Source organism: Homo sapiens, chromosome 6 (assembly GCF_000001405.40).
Source record: "Homo sapiens chromosome 6, GRCh38.p14 Primary Assembly".
NCBI classification, from domain to species: domain Eukaryota; kingdom Metazoa; phylum Chordata; class Mammalia; order Primates; family Hominidae; genus Homo; species Homo sapiens.
In genome coordinates this window covers 78,217,489-78,245,424 of record NC_000006.12, presented here as the reverse complement: position 1 = coordinate 78,245,424, position 27,936 = coordinate 78,217,489, and the positions used below count along the sequence as shown (strand labels likewise).

Genomic DNA, 27,936 nt, shown 5'->3' with positions numbered 1-27,936 from the left:
AACAGAATAAACTATTTTTCATCCACTTTTCACTGATGTCAAATCTAATTTTTTTATGAAATATTTTTATATGTAAGAACTCTCTAATATGACACAGGATTGAGAACACTGGACTGACTTGTAGGAAATTACTTGCCTAAGATGAAGTATAAGGCTCCAAGCGAATGTACAAAAAGCATAAATTGTTAAATTAAATTCAAAGGAGAGTGTGTCTGATTAATAAGGATTGTGGTGGTATTTGGAAAATGGCATTGGTGGCAGAATACGGTTAGAGGAAAACCTTAGCAAATAGAAGAAAACAAACAAAAAAGTCCCTCATGTTCCATTTTTTCTTACTGCTTCTCATCATGGTTTGTTGGTTTTTTGTAGTGATAATTTTTGGGTCCTTTCTTTTCCTTATTTGTGTTTGCTTTACCAGCGGATTTTATATTTTCGTGTTTCTATCATGGTAAATTTTATCATTTTGTTTTCAGATGCAGGACTCCCTTCAGCATTTCTTGTAAGACCAATCTAGTCCTACAACAAATTTTAGAAAAAAAGACAATATAGTGTGTTTATTTATTTTAGAAAAAAAGACAATATAGTGTTTAGAAAAAAAGACAATTTAGAAAAAAAGACTATATAATGCTAAAGGGATGAATTCATCAAGAGTATATTACAATTCAAAACATGAATTCCCTTAGTTTTTGCTTGCCTGAGAAAGACTTTATTTTGCCTTTTGAAGGATAGATTTGTTGAGTATAATATCCTTTGTTTGTAGTCATTTTTTTTCTTTCAGCACTTTGAATGTATCATCTCATTTTTTCTGAATTACCTGAATTTCTGCTGAAGAATTCACTGATAGTCTGATGGGGCTTCCCTTATAAATGACTACAGACTTTTCTCTTGCTGTTTTTCTCTTTTTGTCTTTGAATTTTGAAAGTTTGACTGGCATATGCCATTGAGAAGGTATTTTAAAACTGTATCTATTTGGCAATTTCTGAGCTGCCTACATCTGGATGTCTAAAATCTTGCTAGACTTGAGAAGTTTTCAGCTGTTATTCCATTATATGGTCTCTGCCACTTTAATTTATAGCTTTATCTTCTGGGATACCAAAAATTTGAATATTTTGTTGCTTTATTGTATTCCGTATGTCACATAGGCTTTGTTCACTTTTTACAATTTATTTTTGTCTGAGTTATTTCAAAAGGTCTGTCTTTAAGTTCTGTTTTTTTCTTCTGCATGACCTAGTCTATTGTTGAAGCTTTAAATTGTATTTTGTATTTCATTCAATGAATTTTTCAGTTCCAGAATTTGCGCTTGTTTCTTTCTTTTTTTTTTTTTTTTTTTAAGATCTGTATCTTTGGTAAATTTCTAATTCATTTCCTGAATTATTTTTTTCTGATTTGTTCTATATTGTCTGTTTTCTCTTTTATCTCATTGAGCTTCTTAATTATCCTTATTTTGAATGATTTTTTCAGGGATTTTATAAATTTCTTTCTGATTAGAATTTGTTGTCAAAGAAGTATTGTGTTCCTTTTAAGGTGTCACATTTTCTTACTCTTCATGTTTCTTATGTCCTTATGTTGACATGTGTGCATCAGGTGTAACAGTTGCTTCTTCCAATTTTTAAAATTCGCTTTCATAGGGAAAGGCCTCAGATGATGTAAATGAGCAGCAGTTTTGCTGCTGGAAATTGCTGGATCACTGCCAATGACTCATTCTATAACCCTGGCAGCAGCAGCCATCCAAGATAGTGGCTGTGGGCAAGGGATGTCAAAGAGGCTCCAGGGATGTGGAAATGCCGGAGCTTTTGGGCCCCAGAGAAGACTGTAATCTCATGGGGGCTGAGCTGTCAAAATTGGGTATATAGCTTCCTAGGACTCAGAGGTGTGTGGAACACAGTGTGAGACCCCTCTCTGTAGCAATGCCATTGTGTGGTCCCCAGGCATCTCTCTATGTGAGTCTGAAGGCATTTGAGGGTCGAGGGGTTGTCCCATGGCTAGGATTTTAGGATCCAGAATGGAAATGTGGACTGGTGGGTGTGTCTCACTTACCCTTTGCTTATATTGAAGAGCCACTCCAGGCTCACTGTCAATCCCTGTTGTGTTCTTTGTGTAGGATGAGTTCTTTTGTGTAGGATGTATACAAGACGCCTCTCTATTCAGTCATCCTGAAGCCCCTTCCTAAGTTACGCATTTTGACAACAGATAGCTTTGTGAGCACTTAATAAGAAAATACACGCACATTTTCTAGCAGCAAGCCTGAGGCATTCAATATATTATTTCATATTATTTTCTTTTCTCTCATGGATTTTTATTTTTTATTTTTGCTTTCCAGAAGGGGTAGTTCAACAACCAAATAATTGGATTTGTCATGAACCTGAAGCCACCACAGCCCCACTGAGAAGTAAACCAGAAGCACAATTTATTAAAATCCCACATTTTCTTGGGGAAATTGTGCTATTTATTACTATGAAAATAGGCACATATATTCCTCTGAACATATAAAATTTCAATGGAACCTATTCATCTAATTCTTCAGACAAACGAATAATTCTTTTCATTGTTTTGTAAGGATGGTATCAATAACATTTGTTTAACTAGTATTTTATTTGCTGCCTGAACAACTCTGAAGACCTCTAATCTTAGGGAATATATTGTCAATAAAACTGATGGAGAGTCACACCTCTTTACTCCCTTACTATGGTTCTTCATTGAGGGAGTTCTCATACTTGTGGTGTGAAACTCTAAAAAAGACAAAACTAGGCTAATGGAAAATTTAGTGAAATTTTAGTTGTAAATAACATAAGAACTCATTTACATTTAAATGTAACACAGTATTTAGAGGCAACTATGATAATAATGATATATTTGTATGTCAATTTCCAGAGATGTCCTTTGAACCTCACAAGTGACAAAATATGACTCAGTTATTTCCCTGAGGGCTTTACATCTGGCTTAAAATAAAATAAAAATTGACACTTTAAAAAATATTACTGTTTTCAAATAATAAAGTTATTGCAAAGATTTTCCAGGAAAATGTTCCCAAGTGTCCATGAGATCTTTTCAGATGTGATCTCATATCTAAAGCTAGAAGCATTGGGAGAGCTGTAAATAGCAATATAAATCCACGGCTAATGCATACAGGTTATTATTTTAGAAACAAGTAACTAACAAGATATGTTTCTTATTCTTTGTTACTAAGAATAAGTTATTGATCATACTTTTGATTCAATTCAAAATAACTCAAAAATCCTTTTTTTAAAAACCCAAGTAGGTAAATTGCCATTAAGATGTATGGGAAATTTAAAAAAAAGAAAATAGTTCCTTCCTTCTCTGGGATTACAGTTAGAAAGAGAGACAGACATAAACACAAATACACACATGGGATGTGCATGGGCACAGTGGTGAATGTTTACAGTTAAATGTCCTTTGTATGGTGGGAATTGTATGGTGGGAAAAAACCCTCAGTTCTGCCTATTGGGATGTGGGAAGGCTATATTTATTAGGAAATTTTTAGTAGAGGACACTAAAGGAACAGCAAATTTTTAAGGGCATCAGGGTATGTTCAGAAAATAGAGAAAACAGAAACAGAGAAAGCACTCGACCCCTGGGAAGAGAGCGCCAAAAAATACAACTGGAGCTAATTGTGGGATTTAGGGTGGGTTACAATGAAAAGGACATTGAGTTTTAAACTTTAGTGATTCATCAGAAATAACTGTACAGAAAACTATCATGATTAGACATTCAAAAAGTCTTCTCCAGTAATACTGTGAAAGATAGTTTAGCTGGAGGTGTAATTTTACAAGCAGGCTTAGGAGGTTATTGTAATAGGCATAGACTAGTACTTCTCAAACTTTCTTCGAAATATACCCTATCAGAAAGAAACTTTTGGGTTTCTTTTATAAGCACTCTCACTTCCCCATCTATGTATATGTGTGTGTATTTACTGACTTATTTACAATGTAAAAACATTCATGAGCATATAATTCAAAAAGGATATGAGAAAAATTAAGTAGAAGTAGAAAATTCCACTATTTTCAGAATCCTAAATAATTGTGTGACATTTCACAGCAGCAAATAAGGAATAAAAGTGGAAATTACCAATTATAAAATTAAAAAACAATGAAACATAGCACCGCTGTCTGCTTTTTTTTTTTTTCTTCATCTCTGGTTACTCATTCCTAAACTTATTCAATGCTTTTCACTGAGCTCACGGTCTTTTCCACACCTATTACCTTAAATAATGGTTCCTCAAGGTTCCATTTAGAACTCTTCTTTTTGGTTTAAACCCAAGACTTAATTTATATTATCCACACCTGTGGACCACCATACACACTGGCTTCCAATACTGTATCTGTAGCTCGGATTTACTTTACAAACTTCAGGCCAGTACTTCTGACTTCTTACTTTTCACCTTCACCTGAACATAACCACATACTCAACTTATCAAAACAACACTCAGTACATTTTTCAAGACTGCTTCTGCTCATATAATCTATATTTTAACCAACTGTCCCACCATTTTTCAAGATGCCCATGCCTTAAACTGGGGAATCACTTTAGTCTCCTTCCTTTGTCCTAATTGTCTGCATATGATCAATTACTAACTTCAGTTGACTCTGCCTCTTTAATCTCTCCTCTTTCCCTAATCTACCATTCCTACTTCTGTTGCCTTAGTTCAGACATGCTCCATCTATGTCAGGTATTGTAAAGAAAAAGAAAAATTAGACGTGGTCTTATTTATGGTACATCCTTACAGAGCTCACAGAATGCAGAATGAAAAACCAAAGTAGACTGAAAATAGAATATTTACAGCTAAAGTTCAAGGAGCTGTCTGTGTTATTATCGTTGTAAATGTGCCCTATTTGTCATGATTTCCACTTGGAAAACTCACAGGACTCTCAAATTTACTATGACTATCCATCTTGTAGGCTAAGCCAGAAACCTGTCATTCTGTAACACCCTTTGCCTTTTATTGTCATGCTACTGAATACCAAATCATATCAATAGTATTCCCTATGTTTTTCACAATTATCTATTTTTCTCCTGCACTATCACCATCAGGCTAGACAAAGCCATCACTATGCCTGGCCTAAACAATTGCAACATAGCTTTATTTATCTCACTGTATTCAGTAGATTCAATCCAATCTATTATTGAAATGGGAGAGTTCCCTGATCCCCTCATGGGACTTGTGACAGAAGTGTGGCTTGTTTACTTGGCTGCCATGCACCCAAACCCCTTATGGGAGGGGGAGCATGCAAGTGAGCAGGTGCAGGAGCTGGGGTGAGTGCTTTTGGGCTCCAGCCCCATGGCAATGTCTAGGGGTATTACAGTGTTCTTTTAGCCCTGCTGTCCAGGGACAGCTTAAATGTTAAACCACTCAGTGAAAAGTCAGTGTGACAGCCTTTTTGGATTCCCACACTGAGTGCATCCTGAATTCTTGTCTGGCGTCCAGGAAGAATTAGGTCACATGGAGTTGAAGGATGGTGAGTCCGGGGATTTTATTGAGTGATGGAGGCGGCTCTCAGTGAGATGGGAAGGTGGAGAGGGGATAGAGTGGGAAGATGATCTTCTCCTTGAGTTTGGCTATCCCACAGCCAACTTCCACTCCGACTGTCCTCAGCTGAACTCCTCTTGACGTTCAGACACTTCTTCTCTTCTCTCCTCCTCTGCTGTGCTGCTGTGCTGCTCTGCTATTGAAGCTTGGGATTTATATGGGCACAGGATGGGGCATGGTAGGTCAGAGTGGTGTTGGAAAAGGAAACATTTGAGTGCGAAAATAGGAATGCCTGTTCTCATTTAGGGCTGTGTGTTTCCAGGCTTGAGGGTGGAATCTTTGCCAGGGAATGGCACTCTTCTACCCAGTATTTCCCTACCTCCTGTTTGTATCATTGTCAACTTGGTAGAAAGAGTGATTCATAAAGAGGCATGTATAAGGTAATGATGGAATGGCTAGTAACAAAATTTCCTACTTACTGTAAAGAGCTATAAAATTAAGAATACAAGAAGAAATGAATGAAAGGAGTTTAAGAAAAAAATTTTTAAGTAACTTAAAATTATCTTTTATTTATTTCATGTTTTTACATTTTATTTTCCCTTTTTTTGAGGTAAAAACTTCAATAATTGATTTTAAATATTTTTTCTTCCTAATATAAATGTTTAAAATTTTAAATGCCCCTATAAATGTGGTTTTTCAGTCTCCCATAGTTTTATATTCAGTTTTTATTTTCATTCTCTTCAAAATATCTTCAATTTTCTTTTTGATTTCTTATTTAACTTACGGTTATTTAGAAGTACATTGTTTAATTTCCACTTTTTTGCAGATTTCCTTTTTATTTCTATTTTTGATTTCCAGATTAATTTTATTATGGTTGGAGAACACACTTTGTATTATTTCAATCCTTTTAATTTTATGGGAATTTGTTCTGTGGTCTAGAATGTGGTGTCTTCTAGATAGTGGAAGTAGCTCCCATCAATAAAGTTAACAGACTTCTACTGTTCTTACATAGAATTCTATGAAGTTTTCCTATATAAATACTTCATGAGTTGTTACTTGCCTTGATCAATTCCTAGATCCTTGAAATTATGTGGATAATTTTCTATAGTTTTATGTTTTATTGAAGGGGCAGAGGATTTGCTAACCTCTTCATGCCATCAGGGCCAGAAGTTGCCCCTTGGGGACCCTTATTTCTATATGGGTAGACTGCATTAACAACTTTTGCTCTCTATGGGTTGATAATCATACTATATATGTTTTAACATCCTGAATTAGGCTTTAGTATAATGTTATATTACATAATCAGCTGATTCCTTTAGAGTTTGGACATATCTCTAGGATATTTCTCCAGGATATTTGCATTCCAATATTACTTAGGTCTAATAAATCAAGTAATAATCGTAACCCCAAGACAATTGGGCTTTGGGCACAATATAATTCTAGAATAATAAATTCAACCACTTGCTATGCCTCTGGATTCCTCAGAGATAATCTGACTTAAAGTAAGTCTTCTAACTTCTGTGTTTTAAGACTTGTATTACTAACTACAAATCAAATGTTTATTGCACTAATACATTTGGTGTGAGAAAAAAGGGTTCTTAATTCCAGATGCTTTGCTCTTCTACAATTTGTAAGAGCCATTATTTACAATAGCATTTCCCAAATGCTGATTCAGTAAGGACTCTGTTAAAAGTTCCACATGCAAGTGTACTTGAGAAATGCCACACAGTATATTGTGCTCTTAGAATTTTTAAATGTGCTTTAGAATGGAAAGGAAAAATGAAACTTGTTTAATATTTCTTTATCATACCTCAATACAGGATTTATTTTTTACTTATTCTTTACTTACATCATAAGAAGTTACATTCTGTATAACACACTTTGGAAAAATCTTTTGTGTGACTTTTGTTTTTATTTCCAATTCTCATAGAGGACCCAGAGAGGTAGAATAGTTTGCTTAAATATTAAATGAGTAATGATAAGGGATGAATACATCTCTGAATCCACACACACATGGTACCTCTAGAGCCAGCAATCTCAGATGTAGATCCGGTAGTAAACATGGTGACAGGATCACAATCTTCAAGAGTATGATCATTGATACATCTCCTGGCATCACAGATATTGGTGCATGTGACTCCCAAGACTGTATTTTCATTATTTAGAAATCTGTTGTCTTTGTGAGCATGTTCTTCTTCCTTGCCTATATCACATTATTGATTTATTTCACATTTAAATGGAAACACTAAGCAGTTGCTTTTGTTAGCAAGAGAAAATGCCTATTAGAGATCCAATTTAACTTTGATTCGTGTGATACAATACTGATAACTTTAAAGACAAAATAGAATACAACAGAGGATATCTTCGCGTTTCCACTCTCTCTAATACAGCATTAGGTTTCATTAAATTGTAAAACTATATAAAGTGAATCTTAGAGATCTTTCTAATACTAAGGCAAAGTAATATTTTCAAATAGAATTTTTAATATTAGCTACAAATGAGTTCTACTTCTAGAACTCACTGTGGACTTCAATAAGACATTTCTTTAAAACATTTTTGGTCTAAATGACAGAGTTCAGATTCACTTTTATTTTTCTTCTTTGAAAAATTGTGTTAACCCATGAACAGTTCTCTGAATGAAAATAATATACTATAGTTTCTATATTTTAAACGTTAAAATAATAATGCAAAATGTTGTTTTCTGCAGTTTATATGTATAGATTTTCATTTCATTAACTCTACAGTGCTTGTTTCAAGGAGTTGTTTTGAAGTTTTATTTAAAATATGATTGGGGTTGATGTTTGCTGTGGTATCCCAGTTAATGATAGATTAACTCGCTTAACTTCTATAGTATTTAACGTTCTTATTTTAAAAATTGTGTTGAGGTAATAGGTAACATAAGGCTAAAAGAAACACTGACACACAGACACATATGCATACCCCCTCTCACCCTATACACAGAGATTGAAGTTGATTGTAAAAATGGTTTGGAACTTTCAAACTGTAAAAAAAAAAATTGGATTACAACTAGTGTTCCTTTTCAAAAATATATATTAGGAAAATTGCAATAAATGTACACACTTACAATGTGTACAATGTACATATACGTACCTGAACGTAAGTGGTGCCTCCTTAGATGTGCTATTATTGTTTACTGTAAAATCTATACCATAGACAGTGAAAGTTACCTATTTTCTCTTCCCTAAAAGCTAAACTTCACATAATATTTTATTGATTTATATTCACTTTCTACCTTGCTATAGCTTTGCTTCAGGAGTGTTTTCCTAAATGAAGTGATTAGTGATTTATTTTTCAGTATGGCCACTCTTTTCTACTCTGATTATCAAAGGCCATCAGTTAAATGCCATTTTTTTGTCATGAACAAAATTAAAATCTTAAATTCCTTACATTGCAAACAGTGTCCCAGCTAGAGCAGTCCACGAGACTAAAATAAAATTAAAATGCTACTGGAGACAAACACAAAATATTCTAAAAGAAAAGATGCAGCTTGTTCTTCTTGGATGTGATTACACTTTGCTTTGTACACTTTATATTTCAGAAGATGCATCAAAAAGCATTTCACCATTGCCTACAAATCTAAATATTTCAGAGAATTATAAAATCAGAGTAGTCCTTTAATCACTACTTTCAGGTTGAAAAGAAGCAATACTTAATTATGAGGTTATTCTATTTCCTATTCCAAATTATTATGGCTTATAAAGCAATCAATTGTTGTGAAGCATCCCTATCAGAAACCATCTATATTTCATAAGCTTAATTATAAATTTTATGGCCCCTCAAACATACTCAATTTGACTGCAATCTGCACAGAATTGGCCTGAAGTTTTACCTGGTACAATATTTTCTATTACAATCCCATTTAAAATGAGATGGACAGTGAGCTTTAATTGAATATAGAAGTCATTTTCTCACCCAAGCTAATGAACTCCTGTGTGTGATGAGAAATAAACTGGTAAAAACCTACTGTAGGAGATTGAATGTTATGTACTGCTGCTGTGATGAAGCCTCTTTAAATCTCCTTATTAAAAATCTTGTTTTCTATTTAAATCTCTATGAAATAGAAATTATATAAAAAGTGTACAAGCTTTTTAAAAAGCAGTTCAGTTTAGCTCACCGAATATGTATATCAGAGGCAAGTTTTAAATGCTATAGCCCATGAGCAAAAAGCTAAATTGCACTACTAATCAGTGTGTTCCTTTAAGCAAGTCATTAACTCAATCTGGGACTATATTCTCACCTGTAAGAGGCAGGTTGCAGGCTAGTACTGGTCTATTCTAGCTCTAAAGTTCTATGAATTAACTTAAAGTTTTTTTCTAATGTCTAGCCAGCAGCTGTTTTGTGAGGAAGCAGTTAGTTTATGAGTCATCTCTCTTAAGAATAACTTCTTTCTTTTTTGTTTGTTTGTTTTTATTGAGACGGAGTCTCACTCTGTAGCCCAGGCTGGAGTGCAGTGGCGCAATCTTGGCTCACTGCAAGCTCCACCTCCCGGGTTCACGCCAAGAATAACTTCTCTCTTAAGAAGGTTTAGGATGATTGCCCTCATTATACAGGGGCACATGGTCACAGAGAATCACTGTGATTCTAGAGGTGACAAGGTATTTTGAGATCATCCAGCCCAACATCCTCATTTTACAGTCAAACAGTGAAGGCCATAGTGATTGGATACCCTTCCTAACTCTTCTAGTATCTGGAGTCCCAAATCCTAGGCAACATTTTCCTTGAAAAGGAGATGGGTGGGTAACGGCTTTTGCCTCAATAAAGGAGAATAATTGCAAGATTTTCCTCTTTAAGTGGTGTCACCCCAATCTATTTGGTCATTTCCTGTTTGGATCAAGAAAAATATTCCATAATTATATTCACATATCTTTCAGAAATCAAGAAGGACATTAAGCTGTTACATTAAATTATTTCTAACAGCCTCCCCAGTGTGTCAAATACTTGTATTATGGGGAAAATCACTCTAACAGTAGAATGCAAGCAAAAACTTTAATCATGTGAAAAGGAGATCACAACTCTAGACTAGGGACCACATTCTTTAGGAGTTCTTAGAGAATGTTTTCAGTTTTCCCAGTGCTATCTCGAGAACCTAGCAATACATACCAAATCCCTTCTTCCGCTATCTTATCATTTAGTAGTGAGAGAAAAATGCAGTATCTCACATCTATCCTCCTTTGATTAGTATCCAAGAAAAAAAGTCTCTGGAGTCTTTTCTCCCTTCCACTAATTCCTGCTTTACTCTGGTAATGTGCTTCCTTTTTCCCTCAAATAATTGTTTTCTCCTCTCTCTTGAATATTTCAGCTGAGTTCTTTGACACCTCTAATCCTCAACCATTCTCTGAATATGACCTCCATTTATTTTCTCTAATAAAATCTGGATCTCTCCTATGCTCAATGCTTCCTCTAAATCCCATCACCCCAGCCTGAATAGAAGGATGGGAAGTGGGATCAGGATCTTAATTGATCCCTTTGCTGCTTCAAGATCATTATGCCTCCATCTTGATGAGAAAAAAAAAGTGTCATTAAGGACGAGAGCCATCAATGCAACTGCAGCAACCTCTGCCTGTCCTAGTGACTTCAGTGCAGATGTGATCCTCACGTGAAAATTGATGCAGAGTGTTCCATAGGAGAGGGTTGGGAACAAGAGAGAGAGAAAAAAAATGAGAATATGATAAAGGGAGAAACAGTAAAGGTAGGTTCCCAGGGGATGCAATTTTTGCCCATGCTGTTAGTTCTGCAGCTGCCTTGGACATCAAGATAACATCTGTGGTTTCCTATGGCAGTAAAGTATCCACACTCTGTTCTTTCAAGACCTTTATTCTATCTCATCTTAAAAGCTGCTGTTGCTTGGCTAGCCCAAATTTTGTTGGAAGCAGAAATGTGAGGATGTGGTTGTACTAAATATGGGGAGTTTTACATTGGACTTTGCCTTATACCCATATTTGCTAGAAACACCAACCTTCTGCATTCAACCTCTCCTCCCATTACATAACAGTTGTGTTCTGTTCTTTTCTTCTCATTTGTGTTCTTAATTCAGTCAATGCATCAAGGCCCTGTTTATCAATTCTGTTCTCTTTCTTCAGTATCATAAGTGTGCTTTATTTTTCTGCTAGGTCCCTCTCTTCTACATGTAAACATGCTCAGGCTTTTCCCCTTATTATAAAACAACTTCTCCTTGGCCCTATGCCACTCTGTAACAACTACGCAATTGAAGCTACCTCCTTATAAGAATTGTCTCTGCTCAGTGTCACTAGTTCTCAACATCAAGTTCATATTTTTTCAACTCTACTATTTTTATGTGGATATCTTCTAAACAAATACAAAACACAGGCTCTCTGAAACAAAAGCATTTGATTATTAATTTGTAGCATTTGATTATTTCCTTGATGTAAATACTGTCAAGATGGCAGAATTCAAGCAACCGACATGAAGTAACTGAAGTAGATTTGAAAAGATGAAAAGAGATGTGCATAGCAGCTCTTGAAAGCTGCTGAAAGACTATAAGCTGGCTCTAGAACATCACTGATAATACATTTCTTTGCTTCTTTTTTTTTTTTTCCTTTCCTTCCTCGTATTGGATTATCCAGATTATTTTGTTGCTTTGTTTCTCTTTTTCTGGAATGGAAGTTACACATTTTATGTCGTTTACTTAATGATTGCCTTTGAATTTTTTTTAACATGCAGACAAATTTAAGAAATTAATATCTCCAACTTAAATAATCTAAGATTTAGGTTGCTGAATTTTGACCCCTTCCCCAACTTATATGCCACTGCTGTCTGATATTTTAGTTTATGCTTTTTAAACCTCACCAAACTTGACAAAATATGATTACTTGTAGAATCTTAAACAATCTTTTTCAGTGCACTGTCATAATGTATACACCATATGTTTTCAAATTGGGTTCTGTGGATCCCACTGACATCATATCGGTGGCTTAGGAGCTCCTGATATGAATGTAAGAGGGGCCACAGAGTTTGATGGAGGTATAAGCCAGGCACAGTGTCTCTAAGCAGAGAAGAATGCTAATCTTCTATAGAGTTTTGGAAAATGATGAAGTTCAATGACTAGCAGATTTTCAGAGAACATGGAGTAATTTAACATCACTGTAGTTATGTGGTTATTTGTATATGACTGTTGTTGATTGCCTGGCACTCAGATGCGTGGTCATTGGGTCTTTACCTGATTGGCTGACTTTCAGATGTGAAGGGCTTTTGCTGTTTGGTTACTTCACAGAACCATATTTGGTTACTTCATAAAACCATATTTACTGAAGTGAGTTGTCATTGGTTGATTAAACATACTTAAAACTAGCTCCATACCAGGTACGGTGGCTCACCCCTGTAATCTCAGCATGTTGGGAGGCTGAGGTGGGTGGATCACTTGAGGTCAGGAGTTTGAGATCAGCCTGGCCAACATGGTGAAACACTGTCTATACTGAAAACACAAAAATTAGCCAAGCATGGTGGCACAAACTTGTAATCCCAGCTACTCAGGAGGCTGAGGCAGGAGAAGCGCTTGAGCTATGGAGGTAGAGGTTGCAGTGAGCTGAGATGGTGCCACTGCACTCCAGCCTGGGCAGATAGAGCAAGACTCCATCTCAAAAAAAAAAAAAAAAATAGGGATAGGAGGCAGGAATAAATTACACTCCCACTTGGACAGAAAGAGGAGCATGTGGAGTCTCACATTGTGAACACTTTCTCTAAGAACTACCTGCCAGGAATATACTAGGACAGCTGAGAGAATCTACAGACGCTTTGGAGGAGTGGTTTGCTCCTGGAGGACCCAGGAGACAGCCTAAATACTGTGAGTGTCCAAACAGTGAAACTGGGAAAGGGTGATTGTCCATCTCTGAACACACACTCTCACTGGGGAACCTGAAAGTCAGATCACAGGAGAAGGATTTTATCTTACCTGGAGCTGAGATAATTTAGAGAGCCGAGCAACAACCTAAATGTCTAGCAACAATAGATTGGATTAAGAAAATGTGGCACATATACACCATGGAATACTATGCAGCCATAAAAAATGATGAGTTCATGTCCTTTGTAGGGACATGGATGAAACTGGAAACGATCATTCTCAGCAAACTATCGCAAGGACAAAAAACCAAACACCGCCTGTTCTCACTCATAGGTGGGAATTGAACAATAAAAACACATGGACACAGGAAGGGGAACATCACACACCAGGGACTGTTGTGGGGCAGGGGGAGGGGGGAGGGATAGCATTAGGAGATATACCTAAAGCTAAATGATGAGTTAATGGGTGCAGCGCACCAACATGGCACATGTATACATATGTAACAAACCTGCACGTTGTGCACATGTACCCTAAAACTTAAAGTATAATAATAATAAAATTAAAAATAAATAAATAAATATATAAAAAAAATACAAGGGTAGAAAAAGCTGCAGGTAAAGCCCTGTGGGCTCTCTGGGTCCCCAGGGAAGCCACTTCTGACTGTCTCATAGAGGTCCTTGGGGAGGGGCTGCCAGAGGAACTGGGAAAAGACCACAGGGAGAAGGAAACCACCAGCTGAACTTCGTAACAATTCCAACTGAATGCAAAGTGTTCTGGCCAGAACTCAGGGGAGGGCATGAATCTGGTGTGCAGAGTCCACAGGCAAGGAGGCAGGAAAGCTCTGCTTGCTTTCTCAGCTGGGAGACTGGTAGCCTGGGGCAAATTCTCAGTCCTGCTTACCTACTGCCTGGAAACAAACTTGGTGCTGTTTGGAGGGTACAGTGGGCATGAAACCGGGCTTTTGGATTGTGTGGGAGCTGGGGGAGGCCTGTAACTGCCAACTTTCCCCCACCTACTTGACAACCTCCATGACTCAGCAGAGCCAGCCATAATCCTCCTGGGAATATAACTCCATTGACCTGGGAACCACACCCGCATCCCCCACAGAAGCTGCAGCAAGACTCGCCAAGGAGAGTCTTGAGCTCAGATGCACTTAACCCTGCCCTTACCTGATGGTCTTTGTCTACCCACCCTGGTAGCTGAAGACAAAGGTTATATTCCCTTGGGAGTTCTAGGGCCCCACCCATTGCCTGTTCCTCCCCATACTACCATAGCTGATGCTCTCTTGAAAGTGCCACCTCCTGGCAGGAGGCCAACTAGCACAAAACTAGTACCTTAAACAGCTACAATTAAGGACCCTCACAGAGTCCATTTCACTCCCCTGCCACCTCTAGCAGAGTAGGGGAGGTGAGAGATCTGAAGATGGTTCACATCACAGGGCTCTCTGCAGACAGCCCCCAGTACTAGCCTTGAGCCTAGTAGCCCTGCTGGGTAGTTAGATTCAGAAGAGAAGTAACAATCCCTACAGTTCAGCTCTCAGGAAACCACATCCCTAGGAAAATAGGGAGAGTACTACATCAAGGGAGCACCTTGTTGAACAAAAGACAATGAACAGAAGCCTTGGGCCCCACATCTTCCCTCTGACGTAGTCTACCCAAATGAGAAGGAACCAGAAAAACAATTCTGATAATATGACAAAATGAGGTTCTTTAACACCCCTAAAAAAATCAAACTAGCTCACCAGCAAAGGATCCAAACAAGAAGAAATCTCTGAATTGCCAGAAAAAGGATTCAGAAAGTCAATTATTAAGCTAATTGATGAAGCACCAGAGAAAGGTGAAGTTCAACTTAAGGAAATAAAAAAAGTCTATCTTAAGGAAATTAAAAAAAAAAGATACAAGATATGAGAAGAGAAATCTTCAGTGAAATAGACAGCATAAATAGAAAACAATCACAACTTTGGGAAATGAAGGAAATAGCAACAGAATCGAACAAACATAAGAAAGAAATTCAGAGCTCAAAGACGAGGTTTTCAAATTAACCCAATCCAACAAAGACAAAGAAACAAGAATTTTAAAAATGAAAAAAGCCTCCAAGGAGTTTGGGATTATGTTAAACAATCAAACCTAAGAATAATTGGTGTTACTGAGAAAGAAGAGAAATCTAAAAGTTTGGAAAATATATTGGAGGGAATAATTGAGGAAAACTTCCCTGGCCTTGCTAGAGATCTAGACATCCAAATACAAAGAGCTCAAAGAACATCTGGGAAATTCATCACAAAATGATCATCGCCTAGGCACATAGTCATCAGGCTACCTAAGTCAAGACAAAGGAAAGAATCTTAAGAGCTGTGAGGCAAAAGTACCAGGTAACCTGTAAAGAAAAACCTATCAGATTAACAGCAGATTTCTCAGCAGAAACTGTACAAGCTAGAAGGGATTGGGACCCTATCTTTAGCCTCCTTAAACAAAACAATTATCAGCCAAGAGTTTTGTATCCACCGAATCTAAGCTTCATAAATGAAGGTAAGATACAGTCTTTTTCAGACAAACAAATGCTGAGAAAATTCATCACTACAAAGCCAGCACTACAAGAACTGCTAAAAGATACTCTAAATCTTGAAACAAATCCTGGAAACATATCAAAACTGAACCTTTTTAAAGCATGAATCCCACAGGACCTATAAAAAAATACAATAAATAAATAAATGTTAAAAACCCAAGGTATTCAGGCAACAAAGAGTATTATGAATGGAATAGTACCTCACATCTCAATACTAACATTGAATGTAAATGGCCTAAATGCTCCACTAAAAAGATACAGATTTGCAGAATGGGTAAGAATTCACCAATGAAATATCTGCTGCCTTCAAGAGACTCACCTAACCATAAGGACTCACATAAACTTAAGGTAACAGGGTGGAAAAAGACATTCCATGCAAATGGACACCAAAAGTAAGCAGGAGTAGCTATTATATCAGACAAAACAAACTTTAAAGCAACAGAAGTTTAAGAAAACAGAGGGACATTATATAATGATAAAAGGCCTTGTCCAATAGGAAAATATCACAATCATAAATATATATGCACCTAACACTGGAGTTGCCAAATTTATAAAACAATTACTACTAGAGATAAGAAATGAGAAAGACAGCAACACAATAATAGTGAAGCGCTTCAGTATTCCACTGACAGCACCAGACAGGTTATCGAGACAGAAAATCAACAAAGAAACAATGGATTTAAACTATACCCTAGAACAAACGGAGTTAACAGATATTTACAGAAATTCTACTCAACAACCACAGAATATACATTACATTCATCAGTGCATGGAAGTTTCTCCAAGATAGACCATATGGTAGGCCATAAAACAAGTCTCAATAAATTTTAGAAGATTGAAATTATATCAAGTATTATCTCAGACCACAGTGAAATAAAATTGGAAATCATCTCCAAAAGGAGCCTTCAAAATCATGCAAATACATGAAAATTAAATAACTTGCTTCTCAATTTCATTAGGTCAACAATGAAATCAAGATGGAAATTAAAGAATTATTTGTCCATTTCTTCTAGATTTTCTAGTATATTTGCGTAGAGGTGTTTGTAGTATTCTCTGATGGTAGTTTGCATTTCTGTGGGATAGGTGGTGATATCCCCTTTATCATTTTTTATTGCATCTATTTGATTCTTCTCTCTTTCTTCTTTATTAGTCTTGCTAGCAGTCTATCAATTTTGTTGATCCTTTCAAAAAGCCAGCTCCTGGATTCATTAATTTTTTGAAGGGTTTTTTGTGTCTCTATTTCCTTCAGTTCTGCTCTGATTTTAGTTATTTCTTGCCTTCTGCTAGCTTTTGAATGTGTTTGCTCTTGCTTTTCTAGTTCCTTTAATTGTGATGTTAGGGTGTCAATTTTGGATCTTTCCTGCTTTCTCTTGTGGGCATTTAGTGCTATAAATTTCCCTCTACACACTGCTTTGAATGTGTCCCAGAGATTCTGGTATGTTGTGTCTTTGTTTTTGTTGGTTTCAAAGAACATCTTTATTTCTGCCTTCATTTCGTTATGTAGCCAGTAGTCATTCAGGAGCAAGTTGTTCAGTTTCCATGTAGTTGAGCGGTTTTGAGTGAGTTTCTTAATCCTGAGTTCTAGTTTGATTGCACTGTGGTCTGAGAGACAGTTTGTTACAATTTCTGATCTTTTACATTTGCTGAGGAGTGCTTTACTTCCAAGTATGTGGTCAATTTTGGAATAGGTGTGGTGTGGTGCTGAAAAAAATGTATATTCTGTTGATTTGGGGTGGAGAGTTCTGTAGATGTCTATTAGGTCTGCTTGGTGCAGAGCTGAGTTCCATTCCTGGGTATCCTTGTTAACTTTCTGCCTTGTTGATCTGTCTAACTTTGACAGGGGGGTGGTAAAGTCTCCCATTATTATTGTGTGGGAGTCTAAGTCTCTTTGTATGTCACTCAGGACTTGCTTTATGAATCTGGGTGCTCCTGTATTGGGTGCATATATATTTAGGATAGTTAGCTCTTCTTGTTGAATTGATCCCTTTACCATTATGTAATGGCCTTCTTTGTCTCTTTTGATCTTTGTTGGTTTAAAGTCTGTTTTATCTGATACTAGGTTTGCAACCCCTGCCTTTTTTTTGTTTTCCATTTGCTTGGTAGGTCTTCCTCCATCCTTTTATTTTGAGCCTATGTGTGTCTCTGCATGTGAGATGGGTTTCCTGAATACAGCACACTGATGGGTCTTGAGTCTTTATCCAATTTGCCAGTCTGTGTCTTTTAATTGGAGCATTTAGTCCATTTACATTTAAAGTTAATATTGTTATGTGTGAATTTGATCCTGTCATTATGATGCTAGCTGGTTATTTTGCTCGTTAGTTGATGCAGTTTCCTCCTAGTCTTGATGGTCTTTACAATTTCACATGATTTTGCAGTGGCTGGTACCGCTTGTTCCTTTCCATGTTTAGTGCTTCCTTCAGGAGCTCTTTTAGGGCAGGCATGGTGGTGACAAAATCTCTCAGCATTTGCTTGTCTGTAAAGGATTTTATTTCTCCTTCACTTATGAAGCTTAGTTTGGCTGGATATGAAATTCTGGGTTCAAAATTCTTTTCTTTAAGAATGTTGAATATTGGCCCCCACTCTCTTCTGGTTTGTAGAGTTTCTGCTGAGAGATCCGCTGTTAGTCTGATGGGCTTCCCTTTGTGAGTAACCCGACCTTTCTCTCTGGCTGCCCTTAACATTTTTTTCCTTCATTTCAACTTTGGTGAACTGACAATTATGTGTCTTGGAGTTGCTCTTCTCGAGGAGTATCTTTGTGGCATTCTCTTTATTTCCTGAATCTGAATGTTGGCCTGCCTTGCTAGATTGGAGAAGTTCTCCTGGATAATATCCTGCAGAGTGTTTTCCAACTTGGTTCCATTCTCCCCTCACTTTCAGGTACACCAATCAGACGTAGATTTGGTCTTTTCCCAACCCAAATGTCCAAAAATGATAGACTGGATTAAGAAAATGTGGCACATATACACCATGGAATACTATGCAGCCATAAAAAATGATGAGTTCATGTCCTTTATAGGGACATGGATGAAATTGGAAATCATCATTCTCAGTAAACTATCGCAAGAACAAAAAACCAAACACCACGTATTCTCACTCATAGGTGGGAATTGAACAATGAGAACACATGGACACAGGAAGGGGAACATCACACTCCGGGGACTGTTGTGGGGTGGGGGGAGGGGGGAGGGATAGCATTAGGAGATATACCTAATGCTAAATGACGAGTTAATGGGTGCAGTACACCAGCATGGCACATGTATACATATGTAACTAACCTGCACATTGTGCACATGTACCCTAAAACTTAAAGTATAATAATAAAAAAGAACTCATTGATTAAATACTTAAATATGAGACCCTCAACTCTAAAAATACTAGAAGAACACCTAAAGAAAACTTACAGATATTGGTCTAGGCCAATAATGCATTAACAAGACCTCAAAAGCACAAGCAACAAAAACAAAAATAGGCAAATCGAATTTAATTAAACTAAAAAGCTTCTGCACAGCAAAAGAAATTTAATTAAATGAAAAAGCTTCTGCACAGCCAAAGAAAACAGACAACTGGAAGAATGAGAGAAAATATTTGCAAACAGTTCATCTGACAGGGAATTAATATCCAGAATTTACAAAGAACTCAAGAAAAAATAATCCCATTAGAAAGTAGGCAAAGGACATGAATAGACGTTTTTAGAAGAAGACATATAAATGTCCAACAGACATATGAAAAAAATGCTCAACATCACTAATCATCAGGGAAATGAAAATTAAAACCACAATGAGATTTATTTTATTCCAGTCAGAATGGGTATTACTAAAGTAAAAGAATAACAAATATTGGTGAGAATGCAGAGAAAGGGGAACTCTTATATATTGCAGGAATGTAAATTAGTACAACCTCTGTGTAAAACGGTATAGAGAGTTCTCAAAAAACTAAAAATATAACTGCCATTCCATACAGCAGTCCCACTACTGTGTATCTACCCAGTGGAAAAGAAACCATTATGTAAAAAGAAAACCTGCACTTATGTGTTTCTTGCTGCAGTGTTCACAATAACAAAGATAGAGAACACTTAAGTGTCCATCAACAGATTATTAGATAAATAAAATGTTTATATATATATATATATATATATAGACCATATACAGACTATATATATAGACCATAAATGAGAAAGAAATCACATCTTTTGAAGCAACATGGATGGAACTGGAGGTCATTAAGTTAAGTGAAATAACTCAAAAGCTTAAAGTCAAATACCACATATTCTCACTTATAAGTGGGAAGTAAATCATGTGCAGACATAAACACTGAGTGTGGAATGATAGACTTTGGAGACTCTGAAAGGTGAGCGAGTAGAAGGGGAATGAGGGATGAGAAATTACTCAACAGTACCATGTACACTATTTGGGTGATGGATGTACTAAAAGCCCAGACTTTATCACTACACAATATATCTGTGTAACCAAACTGCACATGTGCTTCTTAAATGTATACAAATTTAAAAATTTTTATAGCCTCATGTTTGCTATCCTTTTACTGAAAACATTTTTTTAAATATTTCTTTTATAGCTGTAATAGTAGTTTATAGTGGAAGGATGAGTCTGATACTAGTTATTCCATTGTTGCTGGAACCAGTGGTCTTCAAGTATGTTTTATTATTCTATTCATTATTATTTTATCTTTTTAGTTAAGTATTCTTTTTTTGTTCTCTTGGTATTATCCTACCAATTATAATATCCATCATTAACTTATTAATATTAAATGTAAATTAGCATTTTTCCATTTTCTGACAATTTTTGGACCTTCAAACTTTAAACTCCATTTATTCTCCTCTCATCTTTTATGCCATTGTTACCATGCATTTTTATTCTACATATATATTTGTCTGCAAGTTTTATTATTATTCTGTAAACAGTGAATTATCTCTTCCATTTACTCACATAGTTAAACTTCCTATTATTCTCCATTTTTCTATAATTCTGAGATTCAATTAACATTATTTTCTTTCTACTGAAAAATCACTTTGTCAGTTAATTTTTTTCTGTTTTTGATTGCCTTATTTTTTGAAAGACAGTTTCACAGGGCATATCATTTTAGGTTGACGGTGATTTTCTTTTGACATGTTAAAGGTGTACAGTTTAACAGCTTCCATTTCTTCTGCTGACAGTAGTCGTTTTTGGCTGATCTGTTGTTATTAAGTGTAGTTTATAAGATATTATCTTTAAAAGTTTTTTTTTTTTTTAACATTTTACTATTTATCCTGCTAGGGGTTCACAACAGTTCTTGAATCTCTGATCTATTTTTTTCTGTTCATTTTGAAAAATTTACATTCACTGTCTCTTCAAATAATATCTTCCTCAAAACACACACACACTCTCTCTCTTTCTGTGTGTGTGTATATGTCTCAGAATTCTATCTACATGTGTGTCAGGCCTTCTCACTGTGCCTCGTATATACTTTATTCCTTTTATATACTTTCCATTATTTTACTTTCTACACATCAGTCTGAATATTTTCTAGTGACGTATCTTTCAGTTCACTAATTCTTATTTTTCGGCTGTGTCTTATCAACTGTAATAAATCATTACATTGATTTTTAATTTTCTGCCAATGCCTTTATAAGTTTTAGGTTTTCTACTTTATTCTGCTTTATGTTTTTCAGTTCTCTGGCCAGTTACTTCAGTTTAGTATGTGTTTTCTTAAACATATTAATCATAGTTCACTCAAAGTCCATATCTAGTAAATGCAATATTTGGATTATCTAAACTAATTACTATTTCTATTATCTGATTTTTCTCTTTACCTTGTTTCTTAATATGCCTGTTAATTTTTTAATTGAATGTCAGGCATGTACACTTAAAAAGTTCTGATTGCCTTGCCACTTTCTCAGTGATGTCATGGAATTTTAGCAACCCAGTTAACTATATATGATATAAAAGTCAAGGATAAAAAGTTAATGCAGATTTATGAGAATTTTTTTTCTGGATAATGTCTGAATCTTACTATAATATATTTGAATCAATCAGATTCTTGGTTTCTAATTTTGCAAACATAAGCCTGTGAAGTAATCCAAATATCAGAAAGACTTCATTTATTAGTCCCTTCCATTACATCTTGCCTTATATATAAATACGCTATTATTCTATATTAACTTTATTTATACCCCTGGTGCTACAAACATTTTCTCTTTATTAAAATCCATCTCCTATTACATGTCATTTATCATTCTTTTATGAATCTTAGTTATAGCTAAAAATTATGAGGAATAGAAACTGATACTTAACATGTACCTCATAGATTTTACAAACTTACCAGTTTATACTGCAGACCTCTTTTACCTATTTTCTTTCTTTTTATGATCCCTTTACTGTCCCAGGGCCATCATATGCAGACACAAAGAATATTAACAATGTCTTTATACCTTTCATATTTCTCAAATTCTTTTAACATTGTGAGTGTAGACTTAATTCTATGTTTACTATATTCAAGGAATCAGAAAATCAGACTTTAAAATGAGACATTCTCTTTCCAGCTAATGTTAGCCTTATGTTTGTCAGAAGAGATCATATTCTTTTAAGCCAGCTTTCTTACAAAAAAAAAGAGATAGATCATCTTCATTGACAAATACATCCTGTTAAAATGTGTGCCTGACATAATTATGTAGGAAACAGTGAAGAAGAGGGTAATGTGGTTGTCAGCCTGCTTAGAGTACAAAAAAAAAAAAAAAAAAAGAATGTTCCATAAGCGCTCACATTAATATGAACACAATACATCTAAACCTCAAATAGTGTTTGCTAAAGATGCTTTGCAGGAGGGCTTGGCATCAAAAAGAACATCTAAAGAACACCATACCAGAGGGATATGTGTAGTGTATGCAGGCCATCTCAGAAGTACAGAATTTGGTTGTATTCATCTCACTTTGGAAAATTCCAGGGGTCCCCATTCCCCTCCTCTAATTCTCTGCAATTTGACTAGTGAAGATGCAGTTTCAAAATCCTAATAAAGAATCTGCAAAGAAATAAGCCTCCAGAACTTATTTTCTCCCTGCTGGAATGAATTTCAATTATCTAACCACCACTGTGGGAGTGTGATTTTCCAACTAACATGTCACCGAGAATGCTAGGGGATGACTGGGGAGAGAGGAGGATTCACATACTTCTTGATCCTTTATCAGTTAAAGAAAATGCACAGCGAAAGATGAAAGTAGTTCAACACCTATAATCCCTTGAGAAGAAGACTGAGGACTTGGCTGTCAACTTAAATACCACTCAAGAGCACACAAAATAAATGAAAAGACGTAGCTACTTCCTGTGAAAGTCAGTGTCCCTGGGATTCAAAAGGTACATCAGACTTGTTGTCCTTGAAGCATGACACAAAAGCTGGCATTGAGAAAGGTCAACTCACATGACAGCTGAAATAAGGTTTGAGACCCCTGGAGCATCAGAGCAGACTTAAAATATCTGAATTTCCAGAATTATTGACTGTGAAGTTTTAATGGCTCCTTCTGTCTGCAGTGTCCTTTCCTGCTCTTTCTTTGTAAGGGAAAACGTAAAGTTCAAGCCCTACAGGCTCTTTTTCAGCACAAAACAGTAGATTATAATCATGAAATGTGAAGTAAGACAGAGTTGGGTTCAAGTTCCACCTCTGCCACTTGCTAGCTTAATGAATTACATCAATACGCTTAACTATTCTGAATCTCAGTTTCTTTATGTATGAGTTCCTACCATGTAGGAATATTACATCTATCAGCAATAAACAGAATTAAACTTGGGAGATGGGTAAATCTGAAGACCCATCTTAGAGATATATTTTAGAGATATATTTTAAAAATTAACTTTGTGCTTTGGAAACTGCAATTATTAAATATGGGCTGGCCCAAACTGAGGAGCAATCTTTCATCTCATAACTTGGCCACCAGACATACTTTTCTTCCATTCTCACAGGTCTAGGCTTCAGGACAGCTGTAGTTTGTAGAACAAAATAATTGTGTGAGCTCTATAGAAAAACCATTCACATACATATTTTCCTATGTGCTCCCTTTGAAGAATAATTATCACTTTCAACCAAGATTTATTGGCATTTGCTACATTCAGGGCAATGGGTTGGGTGCTGAGAATTCAACTCTCTTCAAGGTCAGCCAAGAGCTGACCACCTAATTAGTATTAAGTTAAAGCTATGCCCCTACACACACACACACACACACACAAATTATTATTGTTACCAAAACCCACACACTATTATTATTATTATTACTAAATTATGCTTAGGTGAGAAGACATCAATTTTTATTGACAATGTTATGCAAAACATCTCTATGGAATTTTTTGAGTTTGTAGAATGCTGTTGACTAAACATCAAAGAGCTCTCTTTACAAAGCCCCCAGATAAAATTGTGCCTGATTCTAGTACAAAGAATAGTTGTAATTCTCTTAAGCAATTGATATATATATTTTTTAATCCAGTGGATATTGTGACACTTGTTAACTGACAAAGATTCCTTGTTTGCACTTGGTCTCTGGAAAATATAGCACAAAATAAGGGCCTAAGAATGGTAAGTATGTAGGTTAGATTAACATGTTAACATATTGTTACAATTTACACATTTTTGAAAATATCTTGAAGTATTTTCTGAAAGAAGGAGAGGTGCAAATAAATACCTACTAAACTGACTTTGAACCCTCTTCACAAGGTCACTTGGGAGAGAGGATAATGTGTATTCTCACTGAGTCAAATGAAGTGATGTCTACAGATGAGAGTTGAGCTGAAGAAAGCATTTTGTGCCCTACTACATTCTTTCTCCTGATGTGTCTTATATCTTAACACTGTGTTAGCATCCTTAGAAGAGAAGAGCAGAATGAATAGGGGAAATGGGCTGTTGGCCATAGAGTAATCTCAACAAACTTGCAGAAGTCCATGCTGAGCTCTCAGATGCACGACTCAGGAAAGCGATGACAACCCACTAATGTCAGCTAGTGAGGGAACCAGAGGAAGGACAGCAGAGGGCTTGACTGCATGCCTCGGAGCACGTGTTCTAATTCCCTTTCATTGTAACACTGTCTGGGTAATCATTCCCTTTATTACATTTGTGTATAATAAAGCCAAAATATTTAGCACAAAATGATTAGAGATATGGGCTACAATAGCACTTTCAAACTGTTTCTGAGCTATAGTTTCCCATGAGCTGTTAAGGGATAATCCTCAAATTAAAAAAAAAAAAAAAGAAACATGATCAAATATATGTAGAATATTTGGGGCTGACCAAAGGTTTAAAAATGTTCGTTTTGCTGTATAATTTATCTTAATATACTTTAAAAATATTTAAGAGAGAAAGGTAGTACAATTAATCATTTTCCCAAATTATTTGCTCACAGAATGGCTTTTTTTCCTAAGAGCTACTCACTTCACACAAGAATATAGAATTTTGTGGAATACAGTTTGGGAGATAATAGTTTTTGGTATGTAGAGTATTTTGAAGTTTTACTGAACTACAGAAAATACATCATTCCTAATGAGAAATTTAATATGCAATGAGAACTTTTAAAAAATTTAAAATAATTAAACTGTAAGGTTAGACTAAATATTTTATGACAAATCATATTTCTTCCTCAATTTGAAAGTTATTTGGAAAGAAAGTTTTTTTTTCTCTAGCAAAATAACTGATACCACTTTAACATAAAATCTCCCCATAGAAATATACACATATAGACACATACATATAAATACACACACACACACACACAAATACAAAAAAGAGTGTCAGCATTTGAACATGTATAGAATACTTTAAAATGATAAAGATATACGAGAACAATAAAAATGATGAACATGTTAGATAATTTTAAAAATGTATTTTAAAAATAAAAAGTTTTATTGTGTCATTTCCCTACTCAAGACTATATGACAATGGTTTTCAAATAATGAACAAAAGAAACTCCTGGGGAAAGTCTTCTGATTCAAGATGCCAAACTAAGCTCATTCATTTAGCTTCTTTTCCTCACAGAACCACAGTAAAATGATCATAAAATAATATAAAAGTATATACATTACACAGGAGAATAGGAGGGGAATACAAGCAAATGCAGAGATTCAATAAATTTTTAGAGGACAATTTGTGATGGTCAGAATAATGGCCTATGGTGATGTCCATACATTAATGCATGAAACCTATGGCTATACTGCCTTTCGTGGAAAAAGATACTTTGCAGATATAACTATGGTTATGGATCTTGAGATGGGGGGATTCCTGTGGATTATTTAGGTAGGCACAATCTAATCACATGAATCTTTAAAACCAAAGAAACTTTCCTGGCTTTGCAGAGAGAGAGAGAGACCAAAAGAATATGGCTATTGCAGTAATTATTTAAAATCATTTGTGCCAAATGCCACCGTCTAGTACATAACCCTTCATGATCAGGGCACTCTGCCTGTCCTCCACACTTACTTCCCTGTGCACTAATATGTATGTTGGACTCCCATGAGACTCAGAGATTATTTCAACCACTGAGCTCATGCTTGCCTCCCTATCTGGAATGCCCATTCCTGTTTCCTCATTCACCAGTCTGTTTATTCTTTCAGGCTGCAGATCATGTCTTATTGTAGCTGTGAATTTCCTCAAAGGTGTTCAAATAAACTGATGACTCTTTTATTCTTCAGTAATATTTACCTGCCTTCATTCTCATAGTTCAGTTCTTAATAATTCTCCAATTAGCTTGTAAGCTTTCGTTTTACCTATCTAAAATAAACGGAAAGCTCTATGATTGTTTTTGTTGTTCTTTGGATCTTGTGACAGTTCTTGGCACAGAGGTGGATACAAACCATGCAGTCAAACACTTATTGGCTGAACAAGACACTTATATGTCAAGGTCATGCCTAGGGCAGGAGATGTCTGATGAAACGAGTTCAGGAGGTGGGATAGAAATGTTGTAAACAGTATAGTGTTCTCTAAGGCAGACATTGGAAAAATGTCTGGAAAGTCAGAGGCCTGGGAATTGATAAGGAGGAATTCATAGTAAAAAACGTCTTTTAAATGGTAACTGATTTCACAAGGTATCTGGCAAACATACATAACCTAGTGTAAGTTTTCTACACTGGCAGGCTTCCAACTACCATCATTGAACCCCAAGGCATTTGGAAAAACATCTAATAAGAGTTCTGCATCATGGTCTTATTTCTTGCTATTTTTAAAAGGTGAGATAGGAAATTAAAAAGGCCTCTGGGAACTGGGAGAAATGAGCATTTTCCATCAGTATGGTGCGCTACAGCACATATTCAGAGAAGTAAGATTGAGTGTAGGGAAGGTAACATATCTCTGAGACACCAACATAAACTGTTCAGATGATCCTCAGTAACTCTGCATCTGTCTTCCCCTCTGGAAGGGAAAGAAATAGGAATGGATAAAGAGAAGCATTCTTTAAACTCTGCCATGCCATAATATTAAGTTAAATTCCGTTAATTCTTTGAAATTTTGGCAAAATCCTGGGCAGAACACCAAGTAAAACAATATCTATTTCCAAGTTCATTTGTGTGGAATTTCACATAGCACCTCATAATTTTAGCCTAGAACATGATTACATTCAGATAAATTCCATTTCTTCAAATTGGGTAAGAAGATTTTTCATTTAGTCTTGCCTATGTGTTTCTTACTTCATATGGGGAATTACGTTTTATTTCCTTATGTAGGATATTCATACAAATTATTTACTTCAGGTTATTCCAAGAAAGACAAGGGTTTTGTTGTACAATGCTGTGCATTCCTGTTTGCCTTGAACCAAAGTTTCACTTATGTTCTAGGAACATGAGAGAGCCAGAGAGGTACAGCCTCACAACTAGATAGTGGGAAGGAATATTGATAAAGGAGAAAGAGGGAAGGCTATAAATCGTGTGCCAAGAAAGGAGAATAGCAGACCAATGTGAGCTGAAAATGCAGAGGGATGTAGGATAGAAGGAAGCTGAAACCAACAGACACTCAGGGCACACCATGAAATCCAATTGGCACAGTGAGCTCAGTCAAGTAGAATTTTCTTAAAAAGTCAAGCTTATGCATCACCACTTGACATAGAATGCATTTT

General features: G+C 35.8%; 1 long non-coding RNA gene across 1 annotated transcript in view, besides 3 other annotated features; it reads left to right on the top strand.

Moving 5' to 3' along the window:
• Nucleotides 1–27,936, top strand: part of LOC105377865 (uncharacterized) — a 374,941-nt gene that overhangs the window by 55,397 nt on the left and 291,608 nt on the right. The gene's annotated exons all lie outside the window — the stretch shown is intronic.
• Nucleotides 20,249–20,418: an enhancer, noted in NCBI's record as "experimental_95858 CRE fragment used in MPRA reporter constructs". NCBI's record gives its function as "activates a minimal promoter by MPRAs in K562 erythroleukemia cells, with activity observed for both the introgressed and non-introgressed 6:78934809 variant alleles {active_cell/tissue: K562}" and the evidence as "EXISTENCE:reporter gene assay evidence [ECO:0000049][PMID:34662402]".
• Nucleotides 20,249–20,562: a biological region, named in NCBI's record as "Neanderthal introgressed variant-containing enhancers experimental_95852 and experimental_95858".
• Nucleotides 20,393–20,562: an enhancer, noted in NCBI's record as "experimental_95852 CRE fragment used in MPRA reporter constructs". NCBI's record gives its function as "activates a minimal promoter by MPRAs in K562 erythroleukemia cells, with activity observed for both the introgressed and non-introgressed 6:78934665 variant alleles {active_cell/tissue: K562}" and the evidence as "EXISTENCE:reporter gene assay evidence [ECO:0000049][PMID:34662402]".